Here is a 14,484-nt window from a genome sequence, read left to right on the forward strand (position 1 = left end):
TTGTCTTTGTCCTGCCGCTGTTTCCCTCGTTCTGTGTTCACATCCTGTCTGGTGCTATGGACTGAATGTTTGTGTCCCCCCTCAAATTCACATGTTGAAACTCTACCCCAAATGCTATGGTATTCAGTGGGATCTTTGGGAAATTATTAAAATTAGATGAGTCATGAGGGTGGACCTTCCTCAGTGGGATTAGTGCCTTTATGAGCAATGAGAGAGCTTACTTCAGCTCCCTGCTTTCTGCCACCTGACGATACAATGAGAAATTGGAAGTCTATCTGAAAGAGGGTCCTCACCTGATCTCAGACTTCCAGCCTCCAAAACTATGAGAAATAAATGTCCATTGTTTATAAGACACCCAGTTTATAGTATTCTGTTATAGCAGCTGAGTTAAGAGTGCTTTACCTGGTGAGGTGACCCAAACCTTCATTCCTATGGGATCTGAGTCCTTGGATTCCATTTTGTGTTGCTGTAGTTTTCCATTGACCATGAGTTACTGTGCACATCTACTAAGAGGTGCCCTAGTGAATTCCTGTGTTTCAAACATAGTCCTTCATGCTTCCATTATGCAGCAGCAATCTAGTTTCCTCCTGGTAATTCAGATCAATCACCCTGGCCAGTAGAATGACCTTTTTCCTCTGTCTGTTAATTCATAGCCATGAGAACTTCAAAAAGGCAAGAGGGCAGCCTCAGGATTCATCAGAATAGTGACTGTGTTTCCTGGTAGAAGCATGCTTCCTTTGGGCATGAAGACCTCTAAACCCACTGAGCTCAAAGTCACGTTGAGAGTAAACAACATTTCTTTGAATTGTGGGAACAAGATGAGAAAATTCACTAGATATAATAGTGAGAGGGAGTACTTCTACCTTCTTGCTCTGGTTTCTGGACCCATGCATTCTAGCTCTGGGGGAGACAGGACCACATAGTGGAAACTGGCTTAAGACATGTACTGCACCCTGTAGGATAGCACCCTAATCTCCAGTGTGCAATCCCCCAACTGGTACAGCAGCTGATATTTCAGGAGGCCATTCTAGCTTTACATCAAGCTAGGAGAAGATCAATGAATGACATGGATACAAGCTCATTGCCATTCTTCTTTTGACTTAAAATATTTCCCCTGAGGCTGGGCATGGTGGCTCATGCCTGTAATCCCAGCACTTTGGGAGGCCGAGATGGGCAGATCACAAGGTCAAGAGATCAAGACCATCCTGGCCAACATGGTGAAACCCTGTCTCTACTAAAAATACAAAAATCAGCTGGGCGTGGTGGCACACGCCTGTAGTCCCAGCTACTAGGGAGGCTGAGGCAGGAGAATTGCTTGAATCCGGGGGGCGGAGGTTGCAGTGAGCCGAGATCGCACCATTGCACTCCAGCCTGGCAACAGAACGAGACTCTGCCTCAAAAAAGAAAAAAAAAATTTTCCCCTGGATGGAGAACTTGTGTAGGACACCAATGGCAAAAGTAAAGCTTTCTGCAACTCCAATTAAGGAAAGCACTTCAGGCAGAGGAGACAAGTCTGTCCCCCAGAAAATAAATCAAATATGTGAGGACAAATTGACACACTTTCTATCATGGAAGAAGTCCACTGTAACTTATCTGCCTCCAGGTACCTGGGCCCCTGAGAAATTGTGTCATGTCAGGGGTTCAGTGTTGGCCTCTACTGTTGGCAGGTTGGGCACTCAGCAGGTGTGGTAGCTAGGTGCATCCTTCATCCCCGCTACCATGGCCCCCTTTTACATGGCCCATGGAGCAAACACTGGGGAGGCTGAGGAAAGAGGCTAAGGAGACAGAATCGGTCATTTTACCCACCTGATTGTGGAGAGCCTCCCCAAAAGCCATCTTTCTAATGAATATTTTTATACCTGGTCCATTCGAAGAATTCATCCACAAATCTCTTCCCCACTCACTCTTGTCATCAATTTTCCAATTTTGTTCTCATCAAGTCCATGACCATCCAGCCAACACTGTTAGTCTCTGCCCATGAGTTAGTGTAGATCAACCATTTTGCCTTTCTCATGAGGTGGACAACCAGATGTACCTCCCAAAGTTCTGCCTGGGGGAGGATTTACATTAACCACTATCTTTCAGGGATGGCCTGGAAGACATACCATGCAGATCCATCTGTTACCAAACCCAGGCATTTTCCTCCTCCCTTAGCTGGCCACAGGGAGCTCCCTAGGACAGCACACGTAGATTGAGGGAGAGAGAGCAAAACACTGGAGCAGGCACTGTGAAAATTCGAGCTTCCTGCTTGTGCCTTCCCAGCATGCTCTGGCGCCTCTCTATTATGCTGTTCATAACTTACAGTGCACAATATTGTGAGTTGGTGGATCAGATACTTTATACTTTTAATACATTATACTGCAACCTGTAGGCTAGCATCTTTTAATACTTTAGTATTATTCCTGAAAATATCAAGGTAATGACCACCTTTTATGATCAAAACCCAGTTCATGATAAGCAGCTCAGGTTACTTGATGCCTCATGTCTGGCATTCAGTCCCTACCTACCAGGACTTGGAAACAAGCCAGAAACTGCATTTCAAATGGAGAATCATTGTTGGCATAAGAGTGCATGGCTTGCTGAAGTCTCATTTGCAGTGCCAATGGAAGATAACTCCTGAAAATTCTCTTACAGAAGAAGAGATCATTGAGTCAGGTTTTGAAGGATGAGAAATACATAACTGGGTGGACAAGCCATGGAACAGCATGTGCAAAAATTTAAAAAAAGTAAAATCAGCCGGGCGCAGTGGCTCACTCCTGTGATCCCAGTACTTTGGGAGGCCGAGGTGGGTGGATCACGAGGTCAGGAGATTGAGACCATCCTGGCCAACATGGTGAAACGCCGTCTTTACTAAAAATACAAAAATTAGCTGGGTATGGTGGTGTATGCCTGTAATCCCAGCTACTCAGGAGGCTGAGGCAGGAGAATCGCTTGAACCAGGTAGTTGCAGGTTGCAGTGAGCTGAGATCGTGTCACTGCACTCCAGCCTGGTGACAGAGCGAGACTCCGTCTAAAAAAAAAAAAAGTAAAATAGCGGCTGGGCACGGTGGCTCACGCCTGTAATCCTAGCACTTTGGGAGGCCAAGGCGGGCAGATCACCTGAGATCAGGAGTTTGAGACCAGCCTGGCCAACATGGTGAAACCCTGCCACTACTAAAAATCCAAAAACTAGCTGGGCGTGATGGCTCACGCCTGTAGTCCCAGCTACTCTGGAGGCTGAGGCAGAAGAATGGCTTTAACCCGGGAGGCAGAGGTCACAGTGAGCCGAGATTGCACCACTGCACTCCAGCCTAGGCGACAAGAGAGAGACTCTATCTCAAAAAAAAGGACCCCTGGGGTCCTAATCAGGGGGGCCTCAAACCTTGTAGAGGAAGTTACTGAATTCCTAGGCAGAGGAATAAGGTAAGACAGAGGAATTGTCTTATCTCTTTAAATAAAGAGACTCATGTTTGTATTCCTTCTGGTGCCTTCACAGCCTCTTACAATAGCAGATTATATGCATTTTTTGTTTTAGAATTTTAATTGGAAATGTTATATATTGTGTTGTTTATCATGTAGGTTCACAGCATTTTTCTACTAGGCTGCTAAATTACTTTTTTTTTTTTTTTAAATCAGGCATCCTCCTCAATAAATTTCACATGTGACTTGTTTAGATCCTCATCTCTCTTTCTCCATCTCTCTGGTACAGCATAGAGTCCATGTAAGGAGATTGCATGGGGGCACCTAAATGAAAATTGGCTGCTATTTGAGTCTCATTATTCAAATTTCTAATCTATTTGGGTTCTTTGCCAAGTAACTTCCTAAGAAAAAAGATTTCACCTCCTCACTTCTGTAAGATACTAATGCAAATATATCCCATTTGTTAACTTTTTTGTATTCCCTTTGTGGTACATGTAAAAGTATCTTGCCTAAACTATATAAAATATTCTACAGATAATGAGCGTTGTGTTTTTGTAAGTGAATGGCGTCTTTTTTTTTTTTCTTTGAGACTGAGTCTTACTCTGTCACCCAGGCTGGAGTGCAGTGGCACGATCTTGGCTCAGTGCAACCTCTGCCTCCCGGGTTCAAGCGATTCTTCTGCCTCAGCCTCCTGAGTAGCTAGGACTACAGGCGTGCGCCTCCATGCCTGGCTAATTTTTGTATTTTTACTAGAGACTGGGTTTCACCAAGTTGTCCAGGCTAGTCTCGAACTCCTGACCTCGTGATCCGCCCACCTCAGCCTCCCAAAGTGCTGGGATTACAGGCATGAACCACCACGCCCTGTCGCATGGAGCATTTAAAACATGAATGAATCATTGCTAAATTTTTTTTTTGTTTGAGAAATAGTCTCACTCTGTAGCCCAGGCTGGAGTGCAGTGGCATGATCTCACTCACTGCTACCTCCGCCTCCTGGGTCCCGGTTCAAGCAATTCTCCTGCCTCAGCCTCCTGCGTAGCTGGGATTACAGGCATGCACCACCATGCCCAGCTAATTTTTGTATTTTTAGTAGAGACTCGGTTTCACCATGTTGGCCAGGTTGGTCTTGAACTCCTGACCTCGTGATCCACCCGTCTCGGCCTCCCAAAGTGCTGGGATTACAGGCGTGAGCCACCGCACCCGGTCAATTGCTAAAATTTTTATAGTTTAATCAATATACATAATCTTGAAGAATGGTCAAAGTGATAGTACCAGATATCCATATCTTGGAAATACGTTGAGAAATGTATTACCTTACTTAGAGAAATACCATCAGTTCTGAAACATTGCTCCCATATTTAGAAATTAAAACTTTTGTTGTTCTGTGACAGGAGCAGGGCATACCACCAACAAAATGTGCCATCTGGGCCAGGATCCCGGGAGAGAAGGGACTGGAGAACAAATGGCAGATCAAAAGTTAGGATCAGAAACTCATGCAGTGTTTACAGCAGGTCTGAGCATGGCGTGCCTTTGATTTCAAAGACTACTCCATGCCTGGATAAGTTTTGTGGACTGGAGAACACAAAAGTAACTGGCCCTAGGGGCACACAGAGGAACACTGGGTTACCAGCAGAGAAGGTAAAGATGATTAAGTTTGCAAAGGAAGTGTGAAGGAGATATTGACCAGTAAAACAGGATTTGAGCTTCTTTCAGCAAGCATTCTGAGAAAATGCAGATGCTGTTTAACCATTGAGCAGGGCTTCAAATTCTGTGGGATTGGGATTGAGTTCCTTGAGGGTTAAAGTTGGTTATATTGTCTGTCAATAAGAGAGAAGCAGAGATTGAATTATTTTGCCAATCAACCATATTGTATCCCTTTACCCTCTAGAGAATCACATAGTTCTAAAATGCAAAGATGTTCAGCTCTGTTAAGGTTGTCCAAACTTTAGTACTATTCCTGAAAAAATCAGTATAATGATGATTTTTGTGTGTGTGTGACAAAGATTCACTCTGCTGCCCTTCCTTCCTTCCTTCCTTCCTTCCTTCCTTCCTTCCTTCCTTCCTTCCTTCCTTCCCTCTCTCCCTCCCTCCCTCCCTCCTTCCTTCCTTCCTTCCTTCCCTCCTTCCTTCTTCCCTCTCTCCCCACCTCCCTCCCTCCAGTGGCGCAATCTTGGCTCACTGCAACCTCCACCTCCTGGGTTCAAGTGATTCTCCTGCCTCAGTCTCCTGAGTAGCTGGGACTACAGGCACGTGCCACCATGCCCGGCTAATTTTGTATTTTTAGTAGAGATGGGGTTTCACTGTGTTGGCCAGGCTGGTCTTGAACTCCTGACCTCAGGTGATCTGCCCGCTTCAGCCCCCCCAAAGTGCTGGGAGTACAGGCGTGAGCCACCGCGCCTGGCCATAACCACCCTTTTACGTTCCAAACAAGATGTTAGTTTAGAAGTAAAAAAATTTCACCATGAACATAAATCAGAATTTCCTCCTCTCCTCTCCTTTCCCTCCTCCTTCTCCTTCTCCTTCTTCTTCTTCTTTTTTCCTTTCTTTCATCTCCCTTTCTTTTTTCTTTTCTTTTTTTTTTTTTTTGAGACAGGGTCTCCCTCTGTCACCCAGGCTGGAGTGCAGTGGTGCAGTCTTGGCTCACTGCAACCTCCACCTTCCAGACTCAAGTGACCCCCCCCCCACCTCAGCACCCCCGCCCCCGCCACAATCCCCAGTAGGTGGAGCCATGGGCGCCTATATTTTTTGTAGAGACGGGGTTTCACCATTATGCCCAGGCTGGTCTCAAACTCCTGGACTCAAGAGAACCACCTGCCACGGCCTCCCAAAGTGTTGGGATTACAGGTGTGAGCCACTGCGCCTGACCTAAATCAGAATTTCTGTTTTCAAAACTAAAACAGATAATGATCAAATGTGCATTATGGGGGACAATGGTCAAACATGTATCGCCTTCTTCAGTCATCATCTATAAATATTTAGTAAGCCTAAAATTACAAATAGCTTTAATAGGTGCTATGCAAAGACATGGCCACAGAGTCAGTCCATCTATCTAGTGTCTTATAAAACCACCAGCCTTGACATAAATACTTAGTTACAGGATAGGAAGGGAAAGAAAATAAGAATAATCTCCAGTCAAAGGTGGCTATCCTTAATACCCTTGTCAAAGACAACAACAGAATTCATCACTGTCATTTATGCCATTGCACTGCTTTTATTTTTATTTTACTAAATAGAATGGCAGTTTTTGTTACTGTATCAATGATCTCTTTACTTTTAACTTTAAATTGTTTTCCAAGGATATGCTTGGAGCTCTATAGAACTGCATATAGCTATAACTAAATAAACAACTTAATTTTACATTAAGGTGTTTAAAAGTCAACTTTTAAGCTTTCAGGATGGAAAGCAAGGTTAAATTACAGGGTGAAAATTGGGAGAACTTTGGGCAAGAATGAGCAAAAGGAATGTGATTGTTATTTGTAGCTTCCATATACTGAAAATAAACATTTTTTGAAGTTTTTTTTTTTTTAAACTTCTTGAACAACTCCAGTGTCTCTAAGGGTTTATGGGATAAACAGTTAGAATGTTCCTGATGTGTTGTTTGTGGCAGGATTTGCTAAAGATTGCTTCATTGCACTTCTATCCAACAATGACAATGTAAACTGGAATACACACCGTTACAGCCCAGATCTCCAGGAAAGTAAATCTTTCTTTGTTGCTTGAATTAAAGGAAATGTTTTTGAGCTCACTTCAGCTTTCCAGCAATTTCTGAATTTCTTTTTCTTTTTTTTTTTTTGACACAGTGTCTTACTCTGTCACCTGGGCTGGAGTGTAGTGGCACCATCTCGGCTCACTGCAACCTCCGCTTCCTGGGTTCAAACAATTTTTGTGCCTCAGCCTCCCAAGTAGCTGGGATTACAAGTGCCTGCCACCATGCCTGGCTAATTTCTTGTATTTTTAGTAGAGAGAGGGTTTCACCATGTTGGCCAGGCTGGTCTCAAACTCCTGACCTCAGGTGATCCACCTGCCTTGGCCTCCCATAGTGCTGGGATTACAGGCATGAGCCATCCTGCCCGGCCTGCTTTCCAGCAATTTAGATGCCAAATATTTAATATCGGAGTCAGTGGGTAATTAAGAAATCAAAATTTAAATCTCCCAAGATTTCTGATTGATTTTTCACAGGAAAAGAATAATACATTTATCTTTGAGGCAAATTCAACCAAAGTCTCTGGAGCTTGTCAATACTTAAAATTATATTTATAGATTGCAAAAAGATTTATTTTAGATCATTTGCCTCCTGGAGTTTATGAAATAATGGATGTGTTCCTGAACTGGGAAAAGATCCTTCAGACCCATGAATGTTTAAGCTGACTCCGGATGTGCATGTAGGTACTAATACTGGTGAAATTTTTCTCTTCCTTTTGTCCCATTTTTACGGAGCAATAAATGCAACTTTTAAAGAGTTTATAGTTGAATGCTCTGTGTGCACATTGAGAGTAGATTGCTGTCAATTATTTACTATTGGACTTTACCAGAGACCTAGAGAAGTAAAAAAATGTAAAACAATTTAAAACTTTTTATGAGACTTTATTTACCTTTTATGTTTACATTAATCATGTATGTATAGTGTATGATCCGTATTCTCAGAATTAACTTCAAAAAAAGAAAAAAGAAATTATTCTGTGGGATCCTGTCTCCAGAGGAATTAGAAACCTTTCTGGGTATGTTATTATCCCCTATTTTATTTTATTTTCCCTGAAAATTTATCTCCCTGCTGTAAAGAAATCAATTTCTTATAACATGAAAGATTTGCTCTCTTAAACATAGCAAATATAGCAAGTAAATAATAAACTGATGTTTCTTTATTTTCATTGCAGCAATCAGCAATGTCTTGTACATATTGATTGATTAACTGATACAATTCCAGAAATTCTTTTTTTTTTTTTTTTTTGAGACGGTCTTGCTCTGTCACCCAGGCTGGAGTGCAGTGGTGCAGTGGCACAATCACGGCTTAGTATAGCTTCACTCTCAAGCTCAAGCCATCTTCCCACTTCATCCTCCTGAGTAGCTGAGACTACAGACATGTGCCACTATACCTGGCTAATTAACAAAAAACATTTTTTTGTTGTGTTTGAGATGGGGTCTCACATTGTTGCCCAGGCTGGTCTGGAACTTCTAGGCTGAAGCAATCCTCCTGCCTTGGCCTCCCAAAGTGCTGGGATTATAGGCGTGACCCACTGGCTAGAAATTCTTAAAACCAATAAATTGATGATTAACCCATTAATATTAATTAATGATTAGTTGAAAACTTCTGGAATTGCATAATTTAAATAAACTATAGTTCAGCCTAAGATGGGCCATAATTTAGCCATGGAAAATGATGTTCTAGGGGACTCTTAAGGATATGGGGAAAAGAAACATGCCCTATTACTAAGTGAAAATTTTAGATGACTGTATGACACTTTATATTCTTAATTTTGTAAAAACAAATGGATGCATTTGTATCTTAGAAAGAATAAGATAATATAAAGAATTGTCCCAGCTTGTCAAAAATATTTTCTCTGGCTTTCAAATTTTCTTTTTTCTTTCTTTCCTTCCTTCCCTTCCCTTCCCTTCCTTCCTTCCTTCTTCCTTCCTTTCTTCTTTTTTTTTTTTTTTGAGACAGGTTCTCTCTCTGTCACCCAGGCTGGAGTGCAGTGCCATGATCATAGCCCACTACAACCTTGAACTCTTGGCTCAAGCAGTCTTCCCGCCTCAGCTTCCTAAATGAGACTACAGACATCTGCCACCACGTCTGTCTATTTTTTTACTTTTTTGTGAAGATGGGGACTCACCATGTTAACCATTCTGGTCTCAAACTTCTGGCCTCAAGCGATCATCCTGCCTTGGCCTCTCAAAGTGCTGGGATTACAGGTGTAATGCACCGTGCCTGGCCTAAATTTTGTATAATGTATCAGTTTTCCCCACCTTTTCTCTTAGAAATTTTTTTATTCCTTTTCTCTTTTTTGTAGAGATGGGGTCTTGCTATCTTGCCCAGGCTGGTCTCTAACTCCTGAGCTCAAGTGATCTGCCTGCTTTGGCCTCCCAAAGTGCTGGGATTACAGGTGTGAGCCACTGCACCTAGCCAGATTTTTTTTTTTTAAATTATAGAAGGATTTTGTACACAAAAGTAGAGGAAAGACTATAATGAATCCCCATCATGTATTCATCATCTAGCTTCAACAATTACCAATATTTTACCAATTTTTAAAAAAACTTTTCTAATTTTTTTGTAGTATTTTAAAATAAATTCCTGACAGTATGTCTTTTCATACAAAAACATCTTCCTTGCTTATATTTCCTTTTCTAAAAAAATAACATTATCACTGGATATAAAATTCTGCATTCACAGTTTTTTCTTTTAGTTCTTTAAGGATGGCTCTGCACTGTCTTCTAGCTTGCATCATTTCTGATGAGAAGTCTGCTACAATTTTTACCTTTGTTCCTCTAATTATAATTTCTTTTTTCTCTGGCTACATTCAAGGTTTTTCTCTTACTCCTTTGGTGTCAGCAGTTGATGGTGACTTATTGAGATGTGGGTGCATGTGTGTTTGTCGATGTGTGGACTTAGGTGTGGGTCCCCCCAGAAGCGGCCTATCTGTAGGGGGCTCTCCTCACCTGTAGGGGGCTCTCTGTGGTCTCCTGCCAAGCCTCTAATCTTTCTTATGAGCTCTTAGTAGAGGCCCATGGAGAAGCGCTTGGGAGTGAGTGCAAAATTCCCTTGTGTTTTGGGGCTGAGCTATTCCAAAATGCTACACTAGCCCACATATGGCCTTTAAAAATTCATTAAAGGTTTAGCTGGTTTGTTTTCTCATCTGTTTGCGTGGTGGTCCCCTCTATCTCCTCTGCTTGGCCGGACGTGAGGCAGTTAATGGATACTGCCTTTCCTTGGAGGGACCTGCCCCTCTTTAGCATTTGGTTAACTTGGTTGTTTTGTGTTCTCAGCTTGCTGACACACTTATGAAAGTTATTATTTTGTAGATTTAATGCATTTCTCTTAGTGTTAGGATAGGAGTGATGCTCTCTGCCCCTTTCTATATCTTAAGCAGGGTGGAAATCTGCTTATACAGTCATGCGCTGCATAACATTTCTATCAACAATGGATCGCATATACGATGGTGGTCCCATAAGATTATCTAAACATAGAAAAGGTGCCATATTTTTACTGAACTTTTTCTATGTTTAGACATGTTTAGATACACAAATACCATTGTGTTACAATTGCCTACAGTATTCAGTCCAGTAACATGCTGTACAGGTTTGTAGCCTAGGTTTGAGGTAGGCTGTACCATCTAGGTTTGTGTAAGTACACTCTATGATGTTGGCACAAGGAAAAATAGAGCTTAACAATGCATTTCTCAGAAAGTATCCCCATCGTTAAGTGACGCATGACCATATTTCTAATCAGTACTCTGGATTTCTGCCCTCAGTTTTTTTTATCTCAGTAAATAGCACCACTATCCATCCAGTCTCTTAAGCCAGATGGCCAAGAGTTTCCTTGATTTCTTTCTTTTATCTAAACCTCTCCCCCTACCCCTCCCCCATTCATTCTCCAGTCATATTAACTCTACTTTCAAAACATATCCAAAATGTGTCTATTTTCTTGCTCTCATTGCTACTACCTCCCTATCCATTATCATGTTATACCTGGGCTACTGCCGTGGCCTCCTAACTGGTTTCTCCCTTCATTCTTGCTTTACCCCATATTGCCCAGCAGCCAGAGTCAGCTCCAAGATATGTTAAGTTCAATTATGTTAGCTCTCTCTAGCTTAAAATCTTCTTTTTTTTGAGACAGAGTCTCACTCTGTCATCCAAGCTGGAGTGCAGTAGTGTGATCTCGGCTCACTGCAACTTCCGCCTCCTGGGTTCAAGCGATTCTCCAACCTCAGCCTCCTCAGTAGCTGGGACTACAGGCATGTGCCACCACACCTGGCTAATTTTTGTATTTTTAGTAGAGATGGGGTTTCATCATGTTGGCCAAGCTGGTCTTGAACTCCTGACCTCAGGTGATCCACCTGCCTCAGCCTCCCAAAGAGCTGAGATTACAGGCGAAAGCCACCGGGCCCAGCCATCTGCTTAAAATCCTCTTATAATATCCTAACCCACTGAGAACAAAACCCAAACTCCTTACTTTCATGTACAAAACTCCACATGATCTGGTGTGTGCCTACCTTATTGAACTCATCTGCCACTCTTCTCCCTCCCTGCTGTACTCGGACCTCTTTTCAGTTCCTGAAACACATCAAGCTCATTTCTGCCCAGGGACTTTGTGTGAACGACTAGCCTTCTGTTTAGAATATTCTTCCCTCTGATTCGAATGTCCAGCTTTCTTTTTAAAAATTCTAATATTGGCTGAAGTGATCTGCCCCTGCCTCAGATTGTTTTTGGCTATTTTATTAAAAACGCCACCTAGTCTCTTGTTTTTCTGTCATCCTGTATTCAATCTTTACATAGTACTTTTCATGTTTGTTTATTTATTGGTTTTTCTGTGTATTGTCAGCAGTGCTGCCTTAAACCTGGCAGGAGGGGCCCTTACCCCGGGCCCTTTGTTTTGAGGATTACACTCCGACCCATTCCACACATCCAGGGATCCACCAGAGTAAAAGGACATGCCTTCCTGGAGCCTGCACTACCTTCTCCCAAGTTATAGACCATCGTAGGGGAAACTGATACTCCAGAATTCCCTGTGCATATTATCCCAAGCTAGCTTCTAGGACCTGTATGGAGCTCATTTCTAGGTCCATCTTCCAAGGGTAGACTGTGCTGTCAGCGTGTATATTCCAAGGCCTGAGGGACAGCCAGCCAAGAGGTGTTTGCAGGAAATGTCAATAGGACTTAGACACACAATCTGGGGAATCCACACATGTGTGCTCAAGGCCGCTTGTGATGTGGCCAGAACTGGGGGGTGAAAGAAAAAGGGGGGTATCAACTAAGGGCTGGATTTCTACAATTGAGGAATCAAAGAATTCTGAATTTGAACCAAGCCTGCTTAGTTGTTATGAAGGAGTGTCTATCAAAGTAGGAGGCTAGAAAATATTTCATCTAACAATTTGTCAATTGTTATCATTGGTTTGAATTATGACTTTTAGTCATTTAGACATAAAGAATGCTGGCTTGAATTTATATTTTTGCCCTGAGTTCTGTAAATGTAAGGGATAGAAGTGAATGTCTATATCCCACTGGATTCCACGAGAGCTGGGTCTTGTCTGTCTAGCTCACTGCTACCTCCCCCAAGCCTAGAAGGGTGCCTGCACATTTCAGGTGTGCAATAGATATTTGTTGAATGAAAAATGAAACTTCCTTCCATGTTTCTTCTCTTTTGAAAAGAGTTTTATTTCTTGAACTTTCTTTTGTTGGAGATTAATATTGTTACTTTTGCTTTACTTATGTTAACATTTGCCATGTCTGTCATTTTCTATCTCTTTATTTTCAGTCCTGAGACATGTTATTTTAGGCCCCTTTATTATGAACAGCATTTGACTAGATTAAAAAAAAAGTCTCTGTCTTTTAATAGACCATTTTACCCTTTCCCATTTACTGTGATTACTTATACATTGGACTTATTCTGGCACTCTTAATTTTTTTTTTTTTTTCAGATGGAGTCTTGCTTTGTCGCCCAGGCTGGAGTGCAGTGGCTGTGATCTCGGCTCACTGCAAGATCCGCCCCCTGGGTTCACGCCATTCTCCTGCCTCAGCCCCCCTAGCAGCTGGGACTACAGGCGCCCGCCACCGCACCCGGCTAATTTTTTGTATTTTTTAGTAGAGACGGGGTTTCACTGTTGTTAGCCAGGATGGTCTCGATCTCCTGACCTCGTGATCCCTCCGCCTTGGCTCCCAAAGTCCTGGGATTACAGGCGTGAGCCACCGTGCCCGGCCAGTTTTTATTTCTCTTTTATTTCTCTCCTCTCCCCTGACCTCCACCCTTGAACCCCATTCCTGATTTTGGGTGAAGATTGCTTTTTCAAGGTTCTATTCTCCTACCCCCATTGGTTTAGAAGTGAACTATTTTCTGTTTTCTGTAATTTGCTTTAAATTTTTATCACTTATAGATAAACATATTTTTGTATCAACATGTAGAATTAATGTTTTCATTCTTCCTCTAGCCCATACTGGGGGAAGAACTAGAACTAGAGCCCATTTTTACTTCTTCCTACTGTTTTAAGCCTTCCTGCCACAACCCCACCCTCCTGTGTGTTCCCTGCCACCATCTTCCACGTCAAGATCATTTGGAATTGTCACTACTTTTGTTTGTTTATAATCAGCACTTATTTAGACTTAGTAATAATTTTTAGCTCCTTACCACCATTTTGAATATGTTACTCTTTTCCCTTGTACTAGGTTTTCAAATCTATTTGTTTTAGGTCAGAGCTGATTTTATTATGTTTTTTCCAGAGAGTAAAGCATGGGTGGAAACTTCCTAAATTTTTGCGTGTCTGAATGTCTTTTTTAATTTTTTTATTTTTTTTTGCGATGGAGTCTCACTCTGTCACTTAGGCTGGAGTGCAGTGGTGCGATCTCGGCTCGCTGCAACCTCTGCCTTTCGGCTTCAAACAATTCTCCTGCCTTAGCCTCCTGAGTAGCTGGGATTACAGGTGCCTGCCACCACACCCTGCTAATTTTTGTAGTTTTAGTAGAGACAGCGTTTTGCCATAAAAAAAAAAAAATCAAAATCCTCAGTTTGTTCCATGAACTTTGGTTCTGTGGATGTGAGTTTATCTATATAATGAGCATAGTGCTTTCTTCCAGAGGATTACTTTTCCTTAAATATTTGCTGGGTTTGGTTGCATGCCCCTCTGGAATCTGAGCTCCTAAGTTATCCGGCCTCTGCTCTATCTGATTACCTGGCCTCGCTCCAGGATTCCACACAGGGGTGTGCCTGTGGCTTCCTGGGCAATGGAGGCTTCTGCTTCCTTCCGGATGGCAGTGAGCCCCGTCCTGATGACCAGGACTGACATGTTCGTGGATATGCACTACTCCTGTCTCGGAGCAGAAGCCTCTGCTGAATGTACGTGGCACCAGAAGGAGAGGAACAAAGGGTTCAAAGTTCCTGGA

This window comes from Homo sapiens, chromosome 8 (assembly GCF_000001405.40).
Source record: "Homo sapiens chromosome 8, GRCh38.p14 Primary Assembly".
Classification (NCBI taxonomy): domain Eukaryota; kingdom Metazoa; phylum Chordata; class Mammalia; order Primates; family Hominidae; genus Homo; species Homo sapiens.